Here is a 27,091-nt window from a genome sequence, read left to right on the forward strand (position 1 = left end):
CAGTGATTGAATAGATAGTATGAGCAAAAGTAGAGAAAATTATTGCTTTAAGCCACCAGGATCCTGGGGCTGTTTGTTGCCATGGCTAACCCCATTTATGCTGACTGATACACTGACATCACTACAACAGCCTCTGAGCTTCCCTTGCCTTACTGCTTCCCTATGCAATACTTCCCAAGTCTATCCGCCTCACGGCTGCCAGTGGTATTTCTAAATCAACTCCTTCCTTCCCCACAAAGATCTCCCCATAAACATCAAAATTCTAAAGTACAGGGTCATTCAAGTTCAGGCATTATTCTCAATCAAAATCTCTCTGTCTTTGTCTCTCTACTCATCAAGGTTAAAAAAAAAAAACCAAAAAACCCTCTTATAATCCCCAACAAAAGTCATGTTCCATGCCTGAAATACCCTTCTACCTTCCTCCTACTTGTCCTTCAAAGAAAGGCATAAGAGTCACTCCCTCCAGGAAGCTTCCTTGGTCCTTCCCTTTTGCATTATTCCTGTCTGGTTTAGACTCCCTCCACTGATCATCTAAAAAGGCAAAGCCCTTTCATAGACCTTGGTTTCCTTAACTGTCTCCCTTACATGAAAATACATTTTCTGAAGGCAAGACAAAAGTCTATTTTGATTTTGTGTTTCTAACACCTTGGCATCAGAACTGAGACTTGGTGAGCCATTGACAATTATTTCAGGTATGAATGAACAAATGAATAAATCAATCTATGACTCCAATCATTATATTTTACAGAGAAGGACCTAGTAAAGGTAAATTGAGCACTCATCTTGAACATTTGTTTTTTAATTTCTAAGTAATTATATATATATATTTTTTGAGACAGGGTCTCACTCTATTGCCCAGGCTGAAATGCGGTGGCACAATCTCAGCTCACTGCAGCTTTAGCCTCCCAGGTTCAAGCGTTCCTCCTGCCTCAACCACCTAAGTAGCTGGGGCTACAGGCACACACCACCACACCCAGCTAACTTTTGTATTTTTTGTACAGGTGGGGTTTCGCCATGTTGCCCAGGCTGGTCTCAAACTCCTGGGCTCAAGTGACCTGCCCGCCTTGGCCTCCCAAATGCTGGGATTATAGGCACGAGGTGCCACACCCAGCCACGCCTAGGTTTTTGATGAGAAAATTTTTCCATATTCCTTTAAGTTCTGTTTTTCTGTGATAGAATTATGGACTTTTCTTCCTCTAGTATTCTCCACCTTTTTTTTCTTGTCTGGGGATTGGCAAACTTTTTCTGTAAAGGGCTGGATAGTAAATATTTTCAGCTTTGTGGGCAATAGTTCTTGCATCAGCTACTGAACTTTAAGTAGTTCAGACACAACTGCTCAATCTTGCCATTACAGTGTGAAAGCAGCTGTAGACAACATGTAATGGATGAGCCTGGCTGTGAGCCAACAAAACTTTATTTACAAAAACAAGAGGCAAGCCCGACTTTGCCCGCAAGCCATAGTTTGCTGACTCCCTTTCTAGTCCAACTAATTTAGAAGACTGTGGAGAGCGAAGGGTGAGAGCAAGCAAACTGTATACAGTATGAAATGTACAAGGGCTCAATAGGGAATTGTCCTTTGGAGGACTTGGCCTTTGCCCACCAATGTGGTGAGATCCAGAGTTCAGGCATTACCAGTTTGTGGATCATTGGAGTCTTGGATATAGCAAGATTGTCTCTTCAGAGACCCTAGTGGGAGATGGCTGTGACCTTCTAGATTTTAACTGTGGGCTTAGCTAAAAGAGCATGTGCTCTACCGTGTGGAACACAGTCCAAATACCCAAGGTCCACCCCACACACGCTGCTGTGGGAAATTTCACAGTCTCTCTTACTGAGCATCCTCAGGAAACATGTAAAAATGGGAATGTAGTCTCACCAAGTCCAGGTGAGACTAGAGGAACTAGTCTCACCTATAAAAGCAATAGTAATGCCCCTAGCTACCCTCTATCAAGTACCTTCTCTGAGTTCAGTATTAAATCCTTTACATAAACCAGAGCTAACATTTATTGAGCATTTGCTTGTGCCAGGAACAGTGCTAAGTGATATATATGTTCCGTCATGAATTTCTCACCCTATTTCATAATGCGGCTGCTTCTGTTCCCCCACTCTTACCCAGGAGGAAATGAAGTTCAGAGAGGGAAAGCAATTTGTCCGAGGTCAAATTTGCTCAAGTTGAGCCTACAGACTCTGCCGTGTTCTGTGCTCTATGCTACCCCCTCAGGGACAGCTACCTGCCTCAGGGGAGCTGACCCAGCCTCTTATTGGTCACTTAAATATCCCGGAGTCTGTGCAAGTTGCCTCCTGTTGGAGGCAATGACTCCCTTCAGGGTTTGCAAGAAATTCTATCTTTGGGACACTGGAGAGGAAGGGAAAACCTAATCCCAAGGAATAAACTGAGGGTTTTGTTAGAACATGTCACACTTAATAAAAAGCAAAGGGTGTTGATTATTTTTTTCTGTAATATTCTGTCATCATTTTCCACCTAAGTTGTTTGTGAAACCTAATTAATTGCTATAACAAAACCCATCCAGGCAAGATATAAGGAGGACAGGGATATGGCTGATGAATCAGCTTTTAGCATTTAGCTTAAAGTGAAGGTGAATGCTCATGTCTGCTACTTTAGCCAAATTCAAGGCTTCACTCATAAAGTAAGTCTTTGTTCAAGGCAGCCTCAATGCAGCCTGAGCCTGCTTTTTATTTAGTCTCATTACTACAGAAATACCTTATAGCTAGTATCTTAATTATTCATGGTTTGTTGGCAAATTAAGTCACTTGCTTCTCCAATATCTAGAAATGGAAGAAGTGTTCAATTCCAAAGAAATTATGCCTTCCTAGCTTTGCTAGCCTGACAATAATGTTGTTGGCAAATACCTTATGAATAGGTGGGAGATCTTGTTTCACTTATAGTATATGAATAAAAAGAACACCCCCAGGAGACTGACAGGTATTTCATGTAATGGATACCTCCCTTCCCACCCTATTTCTCTCTAGAGTGATGAAGCTTTGGCTTTCCTTACAAACAAGACTATTCAGACTAGAAGCAAGAAAAATGACACCTTTTTATCAACAAGATCATCTAAAATTTGGTTCAGTAAAATATGTAACTCCCTGGTGTGTGTGTTTCTAGTCCATATGCCTGAAAGCTGAGCAGTGCAGTGGAACAATCCCCTCTCTGATTTAGAATTCACAATTATGGGATAGCAAAGGGGTAATCTTATGATAAGCCCCTTAACTCAAATTCCTGTGGCAAAATACATACAAAGGTATTTGAGCATTAATCTTTGTACTTATCTTGAAAAATAGCTAATATTTTTATGTAAAGAGCACTAGATTTGATATTCTAATGATGCAGTGAACATTGTTGGTTGCATTTCAGCCAAACATTTTGCCTTTCCTCCCTGGCAGCTCTGTGGTCTGAGTAGGGCCAACCTCAATCCTAGGTTCAGAAATGGGTCCCTTCCCCTCTAGCCTCAGCAAATCAATGCAATCCAGTGTTTCTTAACCTTTTAATTCATTGTTATCTGCTTAAGGAGCCTTTTTAGATTTTTGTTTGTTTGTCACCCCTCCTATTTTATTTCATTTTATTTATTTATTTTGAGACAGAGTCTCACTCTGTTGCCCAGGTTGGAGTGCAGTGGTGTGATCATGGCTTACTGCAAACTCCATCTCCCAGGTTTAAGTGATTCTCATGCCTCAGCCTCCCGAGTAGCTAGGATTACAGGCATGTGCCACCATGCCTGGCTAATTTTTGTATTTTTAGTAGAGATGGCGTTTTGCCATGTTGGCCAGGCTGGTCTCGAACTCGTAAGCTCAAGTGATCCACTCGCCTCAGCCTCCCAAAGTGCTGGGATTACAGGCATGAATCACCACACTCAGCTACTTTTTGTATTTTTAGTAGAGACGGGGTCTTGCCATGTTGGCCACGCTGGTCTTGAACTCCTGACCTCAAGTGATCTGCTCACCTTGGCCTCCCAAAGTGCTGGGATTAGAGGTGTGAGCCACTGCACCCAGCCCAATCCCTCCCATTTTAATGTCACAGATATGCTGTATTTCTGTTTATATATTGCATGTATATTCGTGCTTTATAAATAAAAGTAGTGAATTTTTTTCCCACCCCCCTCCTCCAAAACAATTTTTGCCTCCTTTGGGCCATTTCACTCTCATTGAGAATGCATAAATTGTCATCCCATACTCTGTGCCAATCAGTGCATGGCATCAGGAGTGGGTACAGACCCTAAATTGGAGTTCCAGCATGTAAACTGGGACTTTTTTTTTTTTTTTTTTGATAGTTGGAGGATATGAGAAATTCTTTCTTTCTGGATGTGTGGATATAAGGCCTGAAACTGCTGTGATTATCTGCTATTGTGAGGGAAGAAACCAGCTGAAGATAAAGCCAACACATCAGCAAGACCAGGTCTGAAAGCATGGTACCCTGATCAAACAATACCTAAAGTTCATTCTACTGCTAGACTTTTCAGCTGTGACAAAAGTCATTTCTTTTTACTCTGTAGGCAAGTTTGAATTGGGTTTTCTATTATAATAAAAAAAATCCTAACTCATGGAAAAGATAACATTTATTGGATGCTTTCTAAACTCCAGGCAGCGTGCTAAATATCTCACGTCAATTAATTCTTTTATCAATCTCTGTGATTAGTACTATTAATTTCTCATTTTATAAATGATGAAGCTGAAGTATAGTAAGATTAACTTACCCACGGTCATACATAGGCAAAGACTGGATTAACTCCCTTGTCTATTTAACTTGCAGTTACTGTCTTTTAGTTCTACACAATTAAGTCACTACTTTTTCACTTAATATTTGAAAAGCATTAAAAAATGATCTTCCTTTGCAAAGGATTATGTTGCACAATTAAGAATATTCAAAGGCTGAAAATATTTTTGAAAATCTTATTTTTGCAAAAGCACAGGAAATATTAAACTTAGAGATCATTTTCTTCTGATTCTGTATTCATAAAAGCCTTTGTTATTTATTTTCATTGATACATATTAGATGTACATAGTTCGGGGGTACATGTGATAATGTGACACATTCATATAATCAAAGCAGGGTTATTGGGATAGCCAATGCTTTAAATATTTTAATTAATTAATTTTTTAGAGGAGGTCTCCCTCTGTCACTTAGGCTGAAGTGCAGTGGGACAATTATGGCTCACTGCAGCATTGAACTCCTGGGCTCAAGTGATCCTCCTGCCTCAACGTCTTGAGCAGAGAGAACCACAGGTTCATGACGCTATACCTGGCTGATTTTTAAATTTTTTGTAGAGATGGGGTCTCACTATGTTGCTCAGACTGGTCTTGAACTCCTGGGCTCAAGTGATCCTCTCACTTCAGCCTCCCAAAATGTTGGGATTACAGGCATGAGCCATGGTGCCCAACCGTTATCTTTTCTTCGTGCTAGAAACATTCAAATTATTCTCTTCTAGTTATTTTGAAATGTACAATTGATTAAAGTTAAAAATAAGGAGTGGGGACTTATTTTTTTTTTATTTTTTATTTTTTTAAGAGATGGGTCTCACTATGTTGCCCGGGCTGGCCTCAAACTCCTGGGCTCAAGGGATCTTCCTGCCTCAGCCTTCTGAGTAGCTGGGATTATAGACACACAGCACACTGCCTGACTACCACCATTATTTTAGATGTTCTTATCAATTATGATATGGTATTGGCTCAGTCACCATCCATTTTAGAGAAAAGAAAAAAATACATATATTTTAGTAGCTCAGTGTCTCAAATTGCTATTCTGCATAAAAATTATCAGTCAACCTTATAAAGAATCCATAAGGTCTCAGGTTTCTGGAATCTTTATTTTTGAATTGGTCAGTAACAGTATTACAGATAAGCCATAAATCCTCTGAATCCTTGGGGAGTGAGGCACAGAGTCACTCTGGTTGGCTACAATATTTGCGTTCCCTTTTTGAAAGTTTCTCAAACACTAAAAAGGAAAAACAAAATTACATAAGGGGCACTTATTCTACAGACCAAACTGAACAGGGATTTCCCAAGAGAGGAAAAAAAAGGCTTGAAAGACAGACACACTTCTGGCTCCAAAAAGCCAGAGAGCTATGTAATGTGGCCAGATGGGATATATCCACAATTCCCTAATACTCTCAAACTCCCACATGCTGCCCTGGTTCCCAACCTGCCTTTCAGATTCCATTTCAAAATGCAAGATATCACAGATATGTTATACAAAGCAGAAGCAGTGAAAGCACAAGTTCAAATGTTCCTCATATTTTAACAAGGGTGACAAGGGGACGCTGACTCTTTAGACTTCCACAGGCTAACCTTAGGTGCTGGCCTTTTCATTTTGCCTGATTGATGGAAGATTATGGTTTGTCAAAATCAAGTGCTTGATCATGTATGAGACACAATATAATAAGACATAAATTCTAGACATATTAGGAACAGGGTCAAATGGGGGGAAATCCAGGAACTGCAACAAAGCTATTCCACATCACAGGAAAGAAAATATGATATTATCTTTCCACAGTAGACACCAAGTATATTTCTAAACAATGCAGATTTTTAAAAATCTCAAATATATTAACAACCAAAGCACAGAACTTTTAAATTCATAAATTACTGTCTAAAAAAAAAAAAAGAAATCCAGGCAAACTGCAGTACCAGAGAGGATGAATGGTCTCCTAGTTGAGCAAAGTTGCTGCATTTTTTGCCTGCAGGATGGGACCGAGCAGAGAAATAAAGGGGCTGTGTTGTGTGACAGGGAGTAAATCCTAACATGAGCATTCCAACGTGTAGCCGGGCCACCCCTCCCTTCCCCAGCCTGTCATCCTCCTGCAAAGTGTTCACAATTTGCTGTCCTTCCTTCCAAAAGCCAGTAGACACAGAATCAGCTTTTCCTGGCTCTGCCTTACAAGTTGGGGCTGCCTGATGGAAAACTGAAAATCCAACGGAAGGATAAAAATCCACCAAGGCCCCCTCTGCCAGCAAATTGGTGTGAAACCGTTGCTTCAGAAGCAGCCACTCCCACCCCCAATGAAATTAAAAAGAAGGACTCATTTGAATGTCTAAGTGGCTTTCTGAAGACCCTCTGTTGCAAAGCAACAGCCTCCCTAGTCAAGCGCCCGCCAGTACACCATTGCTCTGTAACAGATGTCTGCAAACGCTGGGACTATCTCGCAAGTGCCCCCCATGCCCGATTTGAAAAATTCACAAGCTCTGTCAAGCAATAATTACCTAGAGCTGCTGAGCGTTTGACCCAAGGGCCAAGCAGTCTGCTAGGAGTTTAAGAAGAGCTGGGGGGAATAAAATCATACAGGTGGAGCCTGCTTCCCACGAGTGCCCGGCATCCTGCTGGGGCCCTCGGGTGCCGCGCGCTCCAGCTCACCTGGTACACGTCCTGCAGCCCGCACCACGTCCGCAGCACCTGGTGGCAAGCCCGCAGCCTCTCCGTGTACCATCTCCGCAGCGTGGACACGGTCAAGTTCCATACGAAGCGGCTGCCGCTGAACAGCAGGTCCTCCACGCCACACATGAACACCGAAGCCATGCCTCCTCCTTCGCTCTGAACCCGGGCGTCCCGGCTCTCGTACGTGCAGCCCCGACCCCAGCGGCCTGCCCGCCTGGGCTCCCGACGCCGGCTTCTGCTGGCAGCCGGGGGGTCAAGCCTGCCACCAAACTCGTCTTTCACCGTGCGTCCTGGCCAGGCTCCGGCGGCATGCCCTGGGATTGGGTGCCCGCCAGCCAACGGCTGCGACTGGCACACAGAAGCCCAGTGTCCACCCCCGCCCGCTCGCAGCGCCGAGCAAGCTGTGCTAAGCTCCACCAAGCTGGCCCTCGATGCTCCCGGGGCACGGGAAGCCCTGGCCGGCGAGGACTCCCCCTGGCGCTTCCCCAGGGCGCGGGGCAGGGACGGAAGCGGAGCAACTCTTTGCAGGCAGAGAGGGGAGCTGCATTTCAGCACACTTGGCTTCCACGTCTTGCGCGCGCGCGAACACACACACACACAGACACACACCCCCCACACCGGACGAGTGGTCTCCTAATCTGCCTCGGGGAACACCTTACTCATCTTGCTCTGTTCACACTGATAAAACACCTCTGGGCAGCCACAGATGCAGAAGAGAGAGAGAGAAAAAAAAAAATCTCCAAGGCATCCCTTTGGACCCTACTCCTGGGGGAATAGCCACGAATGTTTCCTTGGTTCTGCTGGAAGCAGGAGATGAAGGCAACAGTCTCAAAGCAACAGGCGGCCCTAGAACCTGCCTTTGCTCCTAACTTGAGGGTCTCAGAGAAAATGACAGCCTCCTGTGGTTGCCAGCAGGAAGGCAGGTTTCCTCACACCAAGATGCTGCTAATACCAATGCAGCAGTCAGGGAGAAAAACAGAGTTCTTGGTCCCTTGTAAATAGCTTGCCGTTACTAGTGCTGGGAAACAGAAGCCCATAAGAGAATCGGTGGTTTAGTTCTGGAAAATTCAGCCTCTGGACATGTCTAACCTCACCTGCAAGCACCAACCTGCATGGGTAGTTTATTCTCCCCTCAAAACCAAAGGAAACTGTTCCACCACTCATGAAGTCACTAGATAATTAATCTTATTTATTTATTTATTAAAGTTTTCCCTCGGGAATTGATGCTGATTGTTGGAAACATTTGGAAAAGGGAGCTCAAGGAGTCTCGCCTACCACCAGTCTCTGTCTTCCTTTATTTATTTTTGAGACAAGGTCTGTTGCCCAGGCTGGAGAGCAGTGACTCAATCATAGCTCACAGCTGCCTTGAACTCCTGGGATGAAGTGATCCATCTTCCCACCTCAGCCACGGGGACTACAGGTGCTAAGTTTATTATCATTATTTTTTTTGTAGAGATGGGGTCTCACTATGTCGCCCAGGCTGGTTTCAAATGCCTGGGCTCAAGCAATCTTCCAGCCTCAGCCTCCCAAAGTGCTAGCGTTACAGACATGACCCATTGTGCCCAGCCTCCATTTTCCCTTAGAATGTATGAAGATTTCTCATAGCAAAAGTGCTGTAGCAAATTTCAGGATGGAGTTTTTTCCTGAATCCATCTGTAAGTCAATTGTCTGTATTTTCTTGGCTGTTTCACATCTGGGTTGTTATCTATGCTATTAAGTGGCACCAAAAGGAAAGGTAAGGCACCAAAGCTTTTCTCCTGAACTAGCCCAGAAGACTCCAGAACAGATTATCGACAAGTAAATCAGCTTGATTTCAGGTATCAAATGTGCTTTTATAATCTTAATTCAGGTGAAACTCAATCAGTCAAAAGACGAAGAACACAAAATCTGTCCTCAAAGTGCCTGTTGTTTTCAGTGACTGTAATCAGAAAACTTTTAAATGAGATTTCTTTCGTTAATAAAATTGCCCAAGAGTTTTTGTTGAATTAGTTAATAGGACACAAGACTTGGTCCAAGATTTGCAAACCTTTCTTCACAATAAGTCTTCTCTATGTGCCATCAGTATTAGTATTGATGGTTTTTTTTTCAAGATGATGGTAACGATGAATCTGAATATAATAGATTTTACTGAATCAAAAGAAAATGAACTTAGCTTGAAAAAGAACTGTCATCATGCTGAATGGAAAACTACTGAACTTCAAAAATGCCCTATTAGTACGAGCAAATGGTGGTGGTACTTTTTTTTTTTAAACGATGCAGTTCGACTGTGTTCTCGGAAATGTCAGGCAGCCAAGGGAATACCAGAATAAAACCTACAACAGGTCAATTACCTCTGTCTCATGACACCATCCTCTCAGAAGAGAGGCTCTAGAAACACTCTGGCTGTTAGCTATCTGTGCGTAGGTCTAATGTCAGCAGTCACTTTCAAATTCCATCATTTTCATTCAAGGTTTCCAAAGTCAGGGCAATTTTTTAGAAGATAGGATGTAGTATAATAGGGGCTCTCAAAGTGTGGTCACTGGGCCAGCAGCTTTAGCATCACCTGGGAATTTGCTAGAGATGCAAGCTCTCAGGCAGCCCTGGAATCAGAAATTGTTGGGGGGTGAGATCAGCGATCAGAGCTTTCAGTTGGCCTCTGGAGGATTCCGACTCATGCTAAAATTAGAGAACTACAATAGTGATAGTATGGTGATTAGGAGCTAAATCTTCTAAAAGAGACCCACCCAACTTCAGATCTCCTCTCCTCAGGACCCGTGAGACCCCATATAAGCTCCTTAAGTCAACAAAGTCTCAATGTCCTCATGTGTACAATGTATTATCAGTATTCACTACAAAAAGTTTGGGGAAAATTAAGTAAAATATTCTGTATAAGGTCTTTAGCACGGTGTCTGGTGAAGGGTAAGCATCCAAAGAAAACTAATCACCATAACCCCCCGAATCAAGAATTGCTTCAGTTTTTTGTAGTCAGATAAAACAGTATAAGTAAAATGTGGGTTTTTAAAATGATAGATTTAGTGAGTATAAGTGCAGTGTTGTTATATGGATATATTGCATTGTGGCGAAGTCTGGGCTTTGAGTGTAGCCATCACAAGAATAGTGTACATTGTACCTATTAAGTTATTTCTCATCCTTCATCCCCTCCCACCCTCTGACCCTCCCCAGTCTCCATTGTCTCTTAGTCTACTTTTTTTTTTTTTTTTTTTGAAACGTAGTCTCCCTCTGTCGCCCAGGCTGGAGTGCAGTGGCACCATCTCAGTTCACTGCAACCTCCGCCTCCCGGGTTCAAGTGATTCTCCTGCTTCAGCCTCCCGAGTAGCTGGAATTACAAGTGCACAACACCACGCCAGGCTAATTTTTGTATTTTTACTAGAGATGGGGTTTCAGCATGTTGGCCAGCTGGTCTCGAACTCCTGAACTCGTGATCCTCCCCCCTCGGCCTCCCAAGGTGCTGGGATTACAGGCGTGAGCCACTGTGCCAAGCCTTCTTAGTCCACTCTCTATGTCCCTGTGTACATATTATAAAATGTGTTTTTAAATTTCAACTAGTTACCTACATGTGCTTTCCTATGACTTTCTGTTTGCTGAAGGTGAAAGTTTGTGGCAACTTGTTTTCAGGGAGCAGTTCTGTTGCTCTTTCAAGTTCCCAAAAAGCTTTTTGAGCTTGATCTTCCCCACTAGAGGCAACTTGTCCCGTGGACTCAGAGAAGCTGGGTGCAAGACAGAAGACATCTTATTTCTACTGACATAAACACTGATGCTTTTTTTCTTATCCAAATGGCTTTCCTCTTTTGTAGAAGAAGTTCGAAGGTCAAGACTGAGTGATTTTAGAGGGAAGGAAATACAACTTCCTCCACTCCAGGGACTGCAGTGGGTGGCAACTGAACCCAGATGTGCAGAAGTGGAGAAAAGTGCTACCCAAGTATGGCATCATCCTTAAAATGGACTAGCCACATGGGACTAACCAGATCCCAGACACACACCCTTGAAGCTAGTCTAAAATTTTCTGTGGAAAAGGAGCTAAATCAAGCTAGCTTCAACATTGTCTTGCTTTTTCTTTCTTTCTTTTTTTTTTTAATTTAAGAAGAGGATTTTCTTTCCTCCTCAGCACAGAGTTCCCTGCAATACACTGTAATTTCCTGCAGCTCTCTCTGGAGGCTTAAGAAGATGCTTCGGGTGGCAGCATTACTCATACACCTGGGAGTTGTGCTGTCGTAAAAGAGAAATTGTCATTATGCCTGAGGCTCCTGTAGGTTCTCCTTTGAGGAACTGGCAGGAAGAAGAGCATGAATGCCAAGAAGATAGGACAAATTCCAACCCCTGTCTCTAGGAAGAAAGAGCAAGTTAGTGAAATGGCAGCTTCCAGTGGTCCCCTCTGCCTGGCAAAAACACAGAGTCCACCTAATGTCTGTGGTCATTTTTCAGCTGTACTCTCTAGACACCTGAAAAACTAGTGTGGGTAAACTGACAGATCATGGACGTCCAACATAGGGCTTGAGGTGAATGAAAACAAGGTCTAGTTCAATGGTTCTCAACCGGGGGCAATTTTATACCTCCCTCCCATGCTGAGACATGTGGCAATGTCAGAAGACGTTTTTGGTTGTCGCAACTGGGAGATGCTACTGGCGTCTAGCAGGTAGAGGCCAGGGATGCCGCTAAACATTATATAATGCACTGGAGAGCCCCCAGAGCAAAGGACTCTCCTGCCCAAAATGTCCCTGGTGCAGAGGTCAGAGAACCCTGGTCTAATTAAATGCTACACCCTGGCCAGGCACGGTGGCTCATGCCTGTAATCCCAGCACTTTGGGAGGCCAAGGCTGGCAGATTACTTGAGGTCAGGAGTTTGAGAACAACCTGGCCAACATGACAAAACCAATCTCTACTAAAAGTAACAAAAATTAGCCGGGAGTAGTGGTGTGTACCTGTAGTCTCAGCTGCTTAGGAGGCTGAGGCGGAAGGACTGCTTGAACCTGGAAGGTGGAGGTTGCAATGAGCTGAGATCACATCACTGCACTCCAGCCTGGGCAACAGAGCGAGATTCTGTCTCAAAAATAAATAAAAAATAAAATAAAATAAATGCTACACCCTGTTCTTCCTCTCACATGGCTAGTTGTGGAGAAACAGTCTTCCCTCTTGTTATTTTCTTTCCAAAAGGCAAAAGAAATGAAGCAATCACTGTATAATGGTTTTTTGTTTGTTAGTTTTTTTTTACACAGCCACAATTTCGAATATAATGAACTCAAAGTCTTTTGAGAAATAACCGGAATGCCGTTTCCTATGATTTTCACTTACAATTTTTGGATACTTATCATCCAAAGGGAGAATAACTATCATAACAACTATTAATATTTTTGTACTTCAGTTTTTGTTTCATTTCATTTATTTATTATTTATTTATTTTTATTTTTTTTTATTATTATACTTTTAAGTTCTAGGGTACACGTGCACAATGTGCAGGTTTGTTACATATGTATACATGTGCCATGTTGGTATGTTGCACCCATTAACTTGTCCTTTACATTAGGTATATCTCCTAATGCTATCCCTCTCCCCTCCCCCCACCCCACGACAGGCCCCGGAGTGTGATGTTCCCCACCCTGTGTCCAAGTGTTCCCACTGTTCAATTCCCACCTATGAGTGAGAACCTGCGCTGTTTGGTTTTCTGTCCTTGCGATAGTTTGCTCAGAATTATCATTTCATTTAAATCAGAGGCTCCATAGTACTAGAAGAAGTCTTTCTTTGGCATGTTTATAGAAAAAATTCCCCCCACACTAAACCCAGGTGGAATGCTGATGCCTCCTTTGGGCCATGCACTGTTATGAAAGTCTCTGACTGTACACACAATGGGATATTGCTCCTCTCAGCTCACTTTTCTCTATTAGACTGTCAGCTATGTGAGGAACCACTGTGATGTGACGTGGAAGCAAGGCTGGCTGGGATGGCTCCTCCTTGTGCAGGAGTATCCCATGCACTGGAAGGCATTTAGTGACCTTGGGCTCTGCCTGATAAATGCAGTAGTGCCCCAGTCATTAGGACAACCACAACAGAAAGCACCTCCATACATTTCTAAATGCTGCTAGGTGGGGTAGTAGCTGCCCTCATTCAGAAACCACTGGTGCAAGCTGGGAAAGGGTCTTATTCATATTTGTTTCCCCAGTGGCTGGCACATAGCAGGCAATCAATAAATGTTTATTGAACTGACCAATAAATGACTATTTGTCTTAACGGTGAATACAGAAAGTGGTTCATCCATTCCCAAAACACAGTCTTGTTCATTAGAAAATTACGTATTGAGTTCGCACTATGCATCAGGCAGGGAACTAAGCACTCAGAACACTGACAAGACTGAGACGATCTCTGTCTAAGCGAGTCCTAGAGGACAGTGGGGAAGTCAGAAGAGGAATCTGAACAAGAAATGTAAAGGAGCAGGCACTGCCACAGGGGTTCCAATAGAGACAGGTGAGTGAGGATGGGGGGATTAAGGGATGCCTCCCTGAGCACATGACTTTCAGCAGAGACCTGAAGGCTGAGTACGGGAGAATCAGGTGATGATGGGGGTACATGATAGCAATCCAAGGCACAGGGAGCCTTGAGGACAATGCTTGTGGCAAGAAGGATCCCATATTTGTAGAACATAAGGGAAAAGGGCAAGGGGGATGCTTGATGGTTGGGGGACCAGAAAAGCCCAGCAGCGAGGCTGCTGTAGAGTTCTAGGGTACAAAGAAAGAGCTTGAGGCAGGGCTGTGGGAATATCTACATAACTAAGCTGAAGGAGTGTTCCTGTTCCTCAGTCCTCGGGAACCATGGGGCCTTCACACACAGAATGGGGTAAGAGGTTGGTGGGCAAAAGTGCCACCCTCAAAGCAAGCTTCTCTTGTGGCCTCTGGGAGGGCTCCCCAACTATGCAGTGGCAGGCTCCTCACTCAGGGGGTGGGGGTCTGAATGCCTCATGTCCCTCTACATCCCATTCCAAAAAGGAGGCAGGAGGCCCGAGCGACACAAGTTCTGTTTCAATGCCACTCGAGCCAGAGGCTAGGTGACTGGTCTCCTGCTTTCTTTCATCTTTCCCTTTGACTGAGAGATTAAGGGGCATCCTTCAGTGTTGGCCTCAAGCAGGAGGAGATGGCAGGAAACACATAGAGGTGGTGGAAGCATGAATTGGAGGAAGTAGCCATTGTCCCCCTCATAGTCCAAGGCTGACCAGCAGGCTGCTTAACTCTCTGCAGCTGCCTTCATGACTATGAATGGCTTTTTGGCATCACAAAGGGCTAAAAATCGTAGTAGCTAAATATATCCACCACTAAGGCACCTATTCAGCGTCTATTCTTTGGCTTCAGCAAACTCATTTCACTCCTGGGGGTGTAGGAGGGGGAAGTAAACAAAGCAAAACTTTCTCATTTCCCTCATCTGTTATTTTATCAAATTAAAGTCTCCTTGCTCAAAGAAAAGAGGAGGGATGCTATCTATATTGTCTGAAGAAGTACAAAAAAAAAAAAAAAAGAGCGTCATGGTGTGAGACTTTGTCTTGTACCCATTTTTACTAGTTAATCAACTGAGCAGACATTGGAAATTCCTGCCAGATCAAATTTTAGAAGTTATCTGTCTAGATGTAAAAGCATCCAAATGGGAGGATGGTTCCAGGGAAGTCCAGTGGATCAGGGGGAAAGGGCTTGCCACCTTCTTTAAGGGAGAAATGGTATCAATCTTGTGACTGACCTCCCACCTCCAGAATTTGTCACCTTTTATTTATACTTAACCTACATGTACTTCAACAATGACAAAAATAAAATAGTTAAAAATTGGTCTATATAGCACCATTTTTTTTCTATACTTATTAAGTCTACTTAACCTACATGTACTTCAACAATGACAACAAAAAAAGTCATAAATTGGTCTATATAGCACCATTATTTTTTCTAAATAAATAAAGGCAGCTTTGCTTATATCATCAGTTGATTCTCACAATATATATTTTCCCAAGAACAAGTAGGAGAAAGTTATTTTGGCCCCATTTCATGGATAAAGAAACTGAGGCACAGAGAAGCAGGATGATTTGCTAAAGAAAAGCATTTATGGCAGCATTTTTAAAATGGTGGAGTTGCTAATTTTTCAGTCCTTTAATTAAGAGACAAAAGAATGAATTTCTTTTGTTTTTATAATTTGGTTTGGGCCTCAGACTAAAATTTATAAGGTATTGTCTTAGACAGTTCAGGATGCTATAACAAAAGTCCCACAGGACTGAGTGGCCTAAACAACAGAAATTTATTTCTCACAGCTCTAGAGGCTGGGAAGTACAAGATCAAGGTGCTGGTCAATTTGTTTTCTGGTAACAGCCCTCTTCCTGGTTTGGAGGTGGCTGTTTTCTCCCAAGACAGAGAGAGTTCTGGTCTTTTCAGCCCCTTATAAAGGCACTGATCCTACCATGGGGACCCCCAGGCCCACGGCCTTATCCAAGCCCAATTACCTCCCCAAAGCTCCACCAAATACCATCACATTGGTGTATAGTTTCAAATACGGATCTTGGGAAGACAAAACTTTCAGTCCATAGCGGGCATGGATGGTTCTAGGATGTGTTTTATTACTCTAGGAACTTAACATGACAAAAAGTCCACCCTTTGGGTTTACCCAATTTAATTAAGAATAAAACAATGATCTAAAATGTCAGGAAATAACAGATGCTGGTGATGCTGTGGAGGAATAGGAACACTTTTATACTGTTGGTGGGAGTGTAAATTAGTTCAACTATTGTGGAAGACCGCGTGGCAATTCCTCAAGGATCTAGAACCAGAAATACCATTTGACCCAGCAATCCCATTACTGGGTATATACCCAAAGGATTATAAATCATTCTACTATAAAGACACATGCACACATATGTTTATTGCAGTATGATTTACATAGCAAAGATTTGGGATCAACCCAAATGCCCATCAGTGATAGACTGGATAAAGAAATTGTGGCAGATAAACACCATGGAATACTATGCAGTCATAAAAAAGAGTGAGTCCATGTCCTTCACAGGACATGGATGAAGCTGGAAGCCATCATTCTCAGCAAACTAACACAGAAACAGAAAACCAAACACCCGCCTGTTCTCACTCATAAGTGGTAGTTGAACAATGAGAACACCTGGACACGGGGAGGAGAACATCACACACCGGGGCTTGTCGGGGGTGGAGGGCAAGGGGAGGGAGAACATTAGGACAAATACCTAATGTAAGCAGGGCTTAAAACCTAGATGACGGGTTGATAGGTGCAGCAAACCGCCATGGCACATGTATACCTATGTTAACAAACCTGCACGTTCTGCACATGTATCCCAGAACTTAAAGTAAAATTTTTTAAAAAAAGAATAAAAAGATGAGAAAAAAAGAAAATCTATAATGAACAGTTATTTTTTTTATGGTAGATAAAAGAGCGGTTACTTGAAATCCAATGGCTCTTCCCTCCTATACAATAAATGGTAGAAGAAAAACAAAAAGATATATGCAAAATCTTTACTCTCCAAAGATCAACCATACTACCTAGGTGTACATAGTACTGAACTGCAGTACACTGAGAAACAGAAATTACCAATATCAGTGGCTTGCAAAGTATTAAAATATCTCAAGGCCGGGTATACTCTGACCATCAAACAAATATGAGCAACAGGTTATAAAAATAAACTATTTTCCCATTATTGCTAAAAATACAGAATAATTTGGTAGTATTGTTGCTAGGAATTTCAACTATTTGGCCCTTAGCAGTAAGAGCAAAAGAAAAGAAAGGAAAAGTCTAGCATCCCAAAAAAGGGACATGAAAGTATATCTTGTATCTTGCTATCCTAAAATTAACTTTTTAGGATAGGAACATACTGTTCTCAACTACAAAATGAATTGTATACAAGAAGAGCAAGCAGCAGGAAGCAGCATGCTACAAGCCTTGAAACCTATGGCTATGTTACACAGTGGAGAAAATAGTTATGTATTCCTCAGACTAAGAGTTCAGGGAGCTTTAAGCAGTATTTGATAGGAAAGAAGAGAAGAACTGCATGCTTTGGTCTTGAGTCAATAACAGAGAAAGAAAAGAGGGGTTTTACTTCTGAAGGGACTAGCATCAGAGAAATTTAAGGTAGACTTCCTCACCCTAAAACAGTTCCATTATCTCAGTCTGGTGGGTTTATAGATAATTTTGGTTTATTCTTTGTATGTTTATATATTTTGGCAGAAAATGTTGGTTGTCTGTCCACCACCTATTCCCCTCTTTTTCAAATAATCTTATTTTGCCAGTGTCCTTTTTCTATGTTGCTGATATGAACTATTGATCTAAGGGAAGGCACAACACCCAACTCTGGCAGCAAGATATAAAGTGAAGCTTTCCAAAGAGTTACAGAAAACAGGGGCTGGGTGTGGTGGCTCATGCCTGTAATCCCAGCACTCTGGGAGGCCGAGGTGGGTGGATTGCTTGAGGTCGAGTTCTAGACCAGCCTGGCCAATATGGTGAAACCCCTTCTCCACTAAAAATCCAAAATTTAGCCAGGCATAGTGGCACACACCTGTAATCCCAATTACTTGGCAGGGTGAGGCAGGAGAATCGTTTGAACCCAAGAGCAGGAGGCTGCAGTGAGCTGTGATGGCATCACTGCACTTTAGCCTGGGTGACAGAGTGAGACTCTGTCTCATAAAAAAAAAAAAGAATTATAGAAAACATATCCCTCTTTGAAGAGAAGAAACATCACAAGAATTTTGTCAGCACATGAAAAGATGCTGAACATTATTAATTAGTCATTGAAGAAATGCAAATCAAAACCACAATGATATACTACTTCACATCCATTAGAATGGCTATAATTAGAAAGATGAATAATAACAAATGTTGGCAAAAATGTGGAAGAATTGCCATCTTCATACATTACTAGTGGGAATGTAAAATGTGGAAAAGACTGGAGTTCCTCAAAAAGTTAAAAATAGAATTACCACGTGATCCAGCAATTCCATTCCTAAGTATGTGCCCCACAAAAGTGAAAACAGGCATTTTAAAAAACCTGTACACAAATGTTCACGGTAGCATTATTCATAATAGCCAAATGGTGGGAATTACCCATACGTTTATCAGCTGATAAACAGATTTTTAAAATGTGATATATCCATATAATGGAATGTTAGCAATAAAAAGGAGTGAGGTATATACTCAAGGGAATTGAAAACGTATGTTCACACACACAAATTTGGACATGAATGTTCACAGAAGCATTCTTCATAATAGCTAAAAAGTAGAAACAACTCAAGTGTCCATCACTTGATGAGTGGATATACAAAATGTAGTATACGTATATGACGGAATACTACTCAGCCATAAAAAGGAATGAAATACTGGTACGTACTACAACATGGATGAATACTGAAAACATAATGTCAAGTAAAAGAAGCCAAACAAAAAGGCCACATATCCACAGAGACAGAAAATAAGTTGGTGGTTGCCAGGGAGTTGGGGCGTGAGGTGTCGTGAATAGGGTATGACTATTAATGGGTATGAAATTTCTTTTTGAGGTGATGAAATGATCTGAAATTAGATAATGGGGATAGTTGTGCAACTTTGTGATTATACTAAAAACCAATGAATTGTACACTTTAAAAGAGTGAATTTTATGGTATGTGAATAAAAATCAATCGATTAATAATGAAATAAGCAATTGACAAAAAATAGATAACTTTAAAAAAAGAAATGAAATCTATGCCAAGACATGGATGAATCTCAAAAACACTGTTAAGTGAAAGAAGCCAATCATAAAGGACCACATATAATATTGATCCCATTTATATGAAATGTCTAGATTAGGCAAATCTATATAGATAGAAATTAGATTAGTAGTTGCCTAGGGCTGAGGGAATTAGGGAGAAATGGGGAATGACTGCTAATTAGTACAGGGTTTTTTTTGGGACAATGAAAATGTTCTAAAATTAGATTATAGTAACGGTTGCACCACTCTGTAAATACACAGAAATCCATTGAGTTGTACATTTTACATAGGTGAACTATATGGCATGTGAATTATATCCCAATAAAGCTGTTACCAAAAAAAGAGAGGTAAAACCACAGAAAACATCTTAACTTGTACCTGTATTTGCTGAATATTCCACAATGAGTGTGTAATACTTATATCTTCAGAAAGAAGGTGTTCAAATTTCTCTTGATTTGGAAAAAAATCCTATTTTATAAAACAAGGTAAAAATCAGAGCAGAAAAAAATACTGTACATGAGCTCAGTTATAAAACTGAGTGCATGCATGTAAGGGAAAAAACCTAGAGGAAAATATACTAAATTATTGACAGTACTGATTTCTGAGTTCTGATCATTGGATGATTTTAATTTATTGTGGTGGAGGAGGTTTTTCTTTCTGTTTTTCTGTATTAGCACATACTACTTCTTTATTCTTTTGTTTTATTTTTTAATTGACACATAATAATTACATATTTATGGGATACATAGTGATGTTTCAATACTTACAATGTGTAGTGATCAGATGAGGGTGATTAGCATATCCATCATGTAAAACATTTATCGTTTCTTTGTGCTGGGAATATTCAATATCCTCCTTTTAGATGATTGAAACTATATATTATTGTTAATTACAGTCATCCTACAGTGCTATAGAACACCAGAATGCATTGCTCTTATCTAGCTATAATTTTGCACATACTACTTTTTGATTTCTAATTGGAAATGCACATGCAATCATACAAAAGCTTATTCAGCAATGAAATGTAAGCCTCCCTCACATCCTTGTTCCCCAGCTCCTTATTTCCAGGGCTGCCATGTAAGATTGTTCAAGATGCCAGTTGCACAAGGCACCTGGCTAAGGCAGTGAGTGGGGGCTGTAATCTAGCCAGGGCTCTGCTGGATAAGCCATAACTCATGGCTTTGAGAAAAAGAGTCCTTTTCATCTTAACCCCACAGGAAAGCGTTATGCAACCAAGTAGCCATTCTGCCCTTTTCCCCTGCCCAAAGATACAAACTTCCTAGTTTCTTGTGTATCCATCCTGACATAGTCTATGATATCCAAACATATACTGCATACTGTAACATATATATATATAAGCTATTTTAAAAGAGTAAAGAAATGGCAATACAATGACAGCAAAAGGCAATGCAGTATAATCAGAATTCTAGTATTTCTACAGAAGTCATTCAAGGCACCATGGTAAAATTGGATTTAAAGAAAGAAAAAAAATTACTTGGAACAAATAAATCTTAAGGGAAGAAGCCCAAATGCAATAATTGTTGAATTTTTTCCACCCGAGCTGTCCTCAATCCACATGAATTGTTTATACAGCAAATGAAATTGGTTGTATCCATTGCCAAGGGGATTCCTATTTGGTACTTCGTTCATGGCCCTCCCCACAGCTTAGAAGAGTGTGGAAGCTTGTTTGTGGTCCAGTTTCTACTGCAGAAAGCTTTAGGGTTTTAATCCGCTGAGAAATCTGAGAATGGGTGTCCCCAGGTGAAACCCAGCCCTTCCATTTCATTCACTCTTATGTCCTTCCGAACAAGAACTGCTTCGACAGGCAATCCTAGGCCACTGTCTCAATTTGTATCCCAACATCTCTATATTCATTCTATCTGCGGTGAAGTCTCAACTTGTTCAGAGAAAATGATGGTTAAATTAGTAAACAAGTCACATTATGAGATCTGACTGTAAGGATTGCTCTGTCACTCTGCATAACTTTTGTCTGTGTTCCTGTTTTATGTTTTGCCTCATTACAGAGAGCCATACTGGTCTTCTTTTGGGTTCTAATGCTTTTCCCTCAGGCTCTTTATATTTGTGGCTCTTTAAGTCCTCAACACTCTTCTCCATCCTGAGATTGAATCCAGTGAACTCCCATTTATCTTTCAAGCCTTAGCTTTAATGTTGATCCCTCAAAGCAGGTGAGTGCCCCATCACTGCCGCTTAAACTTCCCTTCTCATTACATCCACCATATTTAAAATTACCTGCTAAGGCTTGATTTTGACACCAGACCATAAGCTCCATGGGTGCAGGGACCATGCCTGTCTTGTGACCCTTATATTGTCATTGCTTAGTATTAGGTTGGTACAAAAGTAATTGCAGATTTTGCCACTGAAAGTAATGAGCTCAGTTGTTAGTTACTTTTGCCCCAACCCAATACGATACCTGGCTCATATTAGGTACTCAATAAACCTGTTAATTGAGCAGATGGAAATGTAAAAGCTATGAGTGACCCTACAAAAGGAAAGTCTTTCCTTGTTTAAAAAAAATTGAGGCTGGGCATGGTGGCTCATGCCTGTAATCCCAGCACATTGGGAGTCTGACACAGGAGGATCACTTGAGGCCAGGAGTTTGAGACCAGCATGGGCAACATACTGAGATTCTGTCTTCACCCCAAAAAAAAAAAATTAGTTGGGCATGGTGGCTCATGACTATAGTCCTAGCTACTTGAGAAGCTGGGTTTGAATCCACGGGTTTGAAGATGCGGTGAGCTATGAGCTATGATCACTCCACTGCACTCTAGCCTGGGCAACAGAGTGAGACCCTGTCTCTCAAGAAAAAAAAAAAGTGTACCATTTAGAAGAAAATTTAGAATTGATTGAGAGCCAAGAATAATAAGGCTTAGAAACTACTCCTTAGGTCTGGAAGCATTTTCCAAGGAAGAAGCCTGGAGGAAACTGAGGCTGGTACTGGGTTAAAACTAACTACTGGATGAAAAAACAAACAAGACAAACACCACTGGGGTGCAATGGTTGAGACCCAGGAAGGCAATCCAAGAAGGCTTTGGTGTGAGATATTTCTGTATGCTGAGAAAGAAGGTGGTGGGCAAGGTCTCTGGATGTGACCTACCTTACTCTTAATGACTTACCTTACTCTTAATTTGCCCTGATTCAAATAAATCTTGACAGTAGGATCAAGGATTATCTGAGACATATTTGGTCCTCCTAAGTGGCTTAGTTCTCTAAAGCCCCTTTCAAGAGTGCTTTGGGGCATTCAGAAACTAGCTCTGCTTCTATTACACTGAGTTATGCTAAGAGCAGGATAAGATGATGTGAACTTATTTGCCTTGTGGATTTGTTCCCTGTTCGTATTTCTAAAATAGAATACTTAAGTCTGTTAACTGATTAACTACAGGAGTACAGAGAATGTCAATGGTTACCGGCATTCTTTACTTCCATTTTGAATGCCCTTTTCCATACACACTACTATATGGTTTTAGAGAAGATAAATAATTAAAATAAATAATTTAAGATACACAGCATAGAAATATATAAAATGCAAACATTATGTTTACATCATAAAGCACAGTTACATAAACAATAGATTATGTTCAGGCTGAAGAAGAATTTTTAAAATGCACAATCACTGAAATATGGTTGTGATGAAAGTAGAACATCCAAATTAATTTCCTTCCATAGCAATGGAAATATATGGAGGAAGACCCTCTTCAACTATTCCATCCAAGTAAACTACACGGGACAGAGGAGGGATATCAGGGGCTTGGGGGTTGTCCCAAAGCAATTTTAGCAATCAGAAATTGAATTTACCTATTTTATCTTAAAGATTCCTGAAGTTTTTTTATTCTTCTTCATAATATATCTTTGGTTTTCTTTCTAAAAATTCAATAAGTAAAACTGTTGTTCCAGGAAGATGTGCAATGTTTATTTTGGGTTTCCTATAATCTCTCAGGACATCTCTCAGGAGAAGAGTGTATCTTTCTTCCTCTCTTTCTTTTCTGAGTCAGGGTCTCACTCTGCCACCCGGGCTGAAGTGCAGTGGTGCCACCACTGTTCACTACAGCTTTGACGTCCTGGGCTCAAGTGATTCTCCAACCTCAGCCTCCTGATTAGCTGGGACCACACGTGTGCACCACCACACCCCAAAATTTTTATATTTTTTGTAGAGATGGGGTTTTGCCTTGTTGCCCAAGCTGGTCTCAAACTCCTGGACTCAAGCGATCTGCCTGCCTCGGCCTCCCAAAGTGCTGAGACTACAAAGCATTAGCCACCGTGCCTGGCCGAGAGCACAAACATCTCAGTGTAAGAAGCACAGGGGTCAACAAGAGGAGATACAACCACTGTAATCTATACAGACTTCAGAAAAACTTTTAGTTTAGTAAAAATAAAATGTTTTTCATAATAAATGATTAAATGCAGTAGCCTGTGCGTAGGCAATTCTTGTGGGATCTTATACAGCCTCCTGTCTCAGCATATGTTAATAACACAACTGCAGTGAATTTCCTATTTCTCATGTCTGCCCAACTATTGCAGTCATGGGTGATTATCCAATATCCGTTCTACCCAAAAGGACAGGCCTAGGGCAGGTATGGTAATCCCATCCTCCCTGTCAAGTGATTGGTTTAGGAAAGGGCATGTGATCAGCTTTGCCCATTAAGACCAAAGGGGATATCTACTGAGGGGGCTTCTGGGAAACCTAGCTTAACTCTGGTTGAGCCATCTTGTTGCCACAATGAGGATGAAGCCAATACAGAGAGCTGATTTTTAAACAAGGCAATTACCAAGATGAGAAACTGGAGCCTTCAAGTATTGTGTGTGAGCTGCCCTACCTCAGGATATCTTAACATAATAGATTTCCTTATGACATATGAAATAATATCTTTCCTTATTACCTTATTAACCCAATTAATGTGTGGGTTCTCTCTTACTTTAGGAGATCTTTAATGATATACTTTACACTGGACTGAAAGCTTTGAGAAGGGGAGGATGTTTTGTTTATCTTTGTATCCCAAAACCTAACACAGTATCTCAGATATAGGAGGTGCGTAATTCATATATGTAGGGCTGAATTGAACCAAATATCAAACATAAGATGTACAAAATGAATTTCCCATTGCCTCTAGATCTCGTGGATACCAAATAGCTAAATAAGCAACCCAGATTATAGACAGTATGACATGAGGGTAGGTGAGAATTATTGGCATCAGGAGACAGTGCAATAATTGACCTCAATACATTAGTCAGATTGCACATGACAGACAGTAAATCAAAAAGAATCAGGAATCAATGAGATATACATATGAAAATCACTGGATGGAGAGTGATTGAAAAAGACTCCAGAAGATTATTTTGTTTAAAGGAAGCATAGCCCTGGAATTTCTGTATTATGGTATTAATCATTCAAACACAGAATACGGCAGAGAAGAGAAACAACATTTTATATCTGGAACATCCAGGAGGATATGCCAGCAGTAGCTAGATGTTTGGAGGACCCTGAAGATACTGGGTCTGTGTCCACACTAATAAAACAGAAAGGCTAAATCAGATCCCCTCTACTTCATTTGTAAGAACTGCCTGGATCACAGAGGTGCTTTGAAACTTAGCAAGGGTTCAGGGGCCTCTAATGAACACCCAAATATTCCTCAGAAAAGAAAAAAAATCATTCCTTCCTGATATTCCTTAGAAAAGAAGCTATGTGCAGGCATTGACTTATGGGGTTTCACACCCACCAAGCCATGTTAATGTTCTCAACAACTCAGAAGTATTCTCACTGTCCCCATTTTAAAACTGGCTCAACTGGGCAGTTATTTTCATTAACCAAAGGATTCAATTAATGCTAGATACAAGGAATGCCATGTAACATAGCATTGTAACAGAGGCCTTCTGCTAGCAAAACAACAGGGCTCAGTGACAGGGAAATCTCAGTAAGGAAGAAAGGAACCCTTCCCCCTGAAATGAGTGGGGAAGCTAACCCCATTCCTGCCGTTGCTACTAAACCCTGAGACTATGAAATGTCAGCACTATTCAAACAGTCATAGAAAACTTCACAGAGAGGAGAAACAGGCAAGACAGGTTTTGGAAGTATAGAAAGCTTAAATATACACCTAACGCAATCAGCTTGAAAATAAAAGAGGCATATGGACATTTGAACCTTACAAGTTCAAGTATACTCCACTTATGAAGTATAGTACAGCATTCTCTATCTCTATTCCAAAAGTGTGCATAAGCACGCATGCGTACCCCACTCCCCCCACCTCAACACACACACACACAGGTCTCTCTTTGCACATTTTATTCTAACCAGAATCAGAGACATGTCTATCCCTAAAATATTATTTTGTTAATTTTAGAGACAGGGTCTCTCTTGTCACCCGGGCTCTGGAGTGCAGTGGCACAATTATGCTCACAGCCTTGAATTCCTGGGCTCAAGCAATCTTCCTGCCTCAGCCTCTCAAGTAGCTAGGACTATAGGCATCCAACACCACACCTGGCTGTTTAAAAAAATGTTTTTGTAGAAACAGGTCTCACTATATTGCCCAGGTTGGCCTTGAGCTCTTGGCTTCAAGTGATCCTCTTGTCTCAGCCTCCCAAAGCACTGAGATTACAGGCCTGAACCAATGTGCCTGGTCTCCTAAGAATGTTTTCTTTTGGATTTTCTTGAAGAAAATCGCAAATAGAAAATACAGTGTGAGTGTATTTTTGCCCATAAGATTTCTCTCCAATAACAGAATTCAGAAAAAATAAAATTAAATAAATGCACAGGCTTTCTGATCCAGAGGATTCTTTCATAGTATTACTTTCTTGAATATTAAGGATAGAAAATGTAACTCTGGCTTTGAGATGTGATTATTAGAGTTAGAAGCATCAAATAATAACTTCAGCTACTTTTTGTTGATTTGTTTTCATGAAACAGCCATTAATCATTTAATTTTCACAATGACCTATGAAATAAAGTATTATTATGGCCTCTATTTTACTTTATTATTATTACTTCTATTATGGTAAAGCTGAAACTTAGGTTAAGGGAGTTGATGGGTTAGGTTCAGACTCTGAAGTATCCAGAGGTCAATAATCCAGGCAGAACTGTGAGTTTCGTGCTTGGTACTGGGTGGAGTTGGGCATAAATGAAGTAGGTCAAGACAAACAGAAAGCAAGTTCATGTGAGCAGCTTGGAATGAGGACACCAATCAAGAAGACACTGAGAAGGGTGACAGTCAGATGGTTCAGAACCCCAGACTCCACAGGAATGGAAAGAGGATGCAAGAGATCTTGTTATACTCAGGTATGGTTACCAGGAGGGCAGGGATCCTGATTGTCTTCCTCACAACTGTGTCCTCAGGGCTTATCACAGTGCTTGCAAATAACAGGCAGGAATGAAAGAGATTAAAAACTTGGTCCAATAGCCTAGAAGAGAAATGTGAGGTGCCAACTATACAGGGGCTATAAAGTCTTCATCAGAGCTCTTTGCTCGCGAATGATGGAAACATAATTATAACTAATTTAAGCAACCTGGAATTTATTGGCTCATATGACAAACTAGGGAATAGGCAGGGTCAAACAGACCTTGTAGATGCCAAGAATGTTTTCTTTCTCCTTGCTCTTGCCATTGCTTCTTTTACACAGTTCATTCATTTTCTCTGGTGTGTTCCTTTACACGTGTCATTCATTCTGTTGAGTGTGCTATCACAAAAGGGTATAAAACCACAACCAAAGGCACCTCCAAGTGTATGTCCTTACAGACTCACCATCAGAGAGGAAAGAGAGCTCTTCGCTGCTAGCTCCTGTAGGTTAAATCATGGGCAAGGATGCTGATTGACTATCATAACCACTGTGGCCAGGGTGGAGGACATAGCGGTTTGTGTAGTGACTGGCTTAGCCAGAAGCAGGAGCCATCCTGTGGTCTGGGAGGGTGGGTACCATGACTGGCAGCCCTGTGCAGGGCAACTTGGTCAGATGTGTGAAAAGAACATTTTCCCCAATAAAAGGGA

General features: G+C 41.4%; 1 protein-coding gene across 7 annotated transcripts in view, besides 2 other annotated features; it reads right to left on the reverse strand.

Annotated features, from left to right (window-relative positions):
* FRMD4B (FERM domain containing 4B) overlaps nt 1-27,091 on the reverse strand; it is a 373,805-nt gene that overhangs the window by 209,683 nt on the left and 137,031 nt on the right. For 2 of the 7 annotated variants that reach the window (NM_015123.3, XM_017005989.2), the window contains exon 1: nt 7,364-7,624. The exons of the other annotated variants lie outside the window; for them this stretch is intronic. In NM_015123.3, the coding sequence (NP_055938.2) occupies nt 7,364-7,525 (162 nt within the window). In that variant the 5' untranslated portion in view covers nt 7,526-7,624. Of the gene's footprint in view, nt 1-7,363; nt 7,625-27,091 lie in introns of those variants that run through there. 7 annotated transcript variants of the gene reach the window in all.
* Nucleotides 7,091-7,701: an enhancer, noted in NCBI's record as "H3K27ac-H3K4me1 hESC enhancer chr3:69434706-69435316 (GRCh37/hg19 assembly coordinates)". NCBI's record gives its function as "activates a minimal SCP1, AML or CMV promoter by ChIP-STARR-seq in naive H9 embryonic stem cells {active_cell/tissue: H9 hESC(naive)}" and the evidence as "EXISTENCE:reporter gene assay evidence [ECO:0000049][PMID:30033119]".
* Nucleotides 14,331-14,959: an enhancer, noted in NCBI's record as "OCT4-NANOG-H3K27ac hESC enhancer chr3:69441946-69442574 (GRCh37/hg19 assembly coordinates)". NCBI's record gives its function as "activates a minimal SCP1, AML or CMV promoter by ChIP-STARR-seq in primed H9 embryonic stem cells {active_cell/tissue: H9 hESC(primed)}" and the evidence as "EXISTENCE:reporter gene assay evidence [ECO:0000049][PMID:30033119]".

The sequence above is a fragment of the Homo sapiens genome, chromosome 3 (assembly GCF_000001405.40).
Source record: "Homo sapiens chromosome 3, GRCh38.p14 Primary Assembly".
NCBI classification, from domain to species: Eukaryota; Metazoa; Chordata; class Mammalia; order Primates; family Hominidae; genus Homo; species Homo sapiens.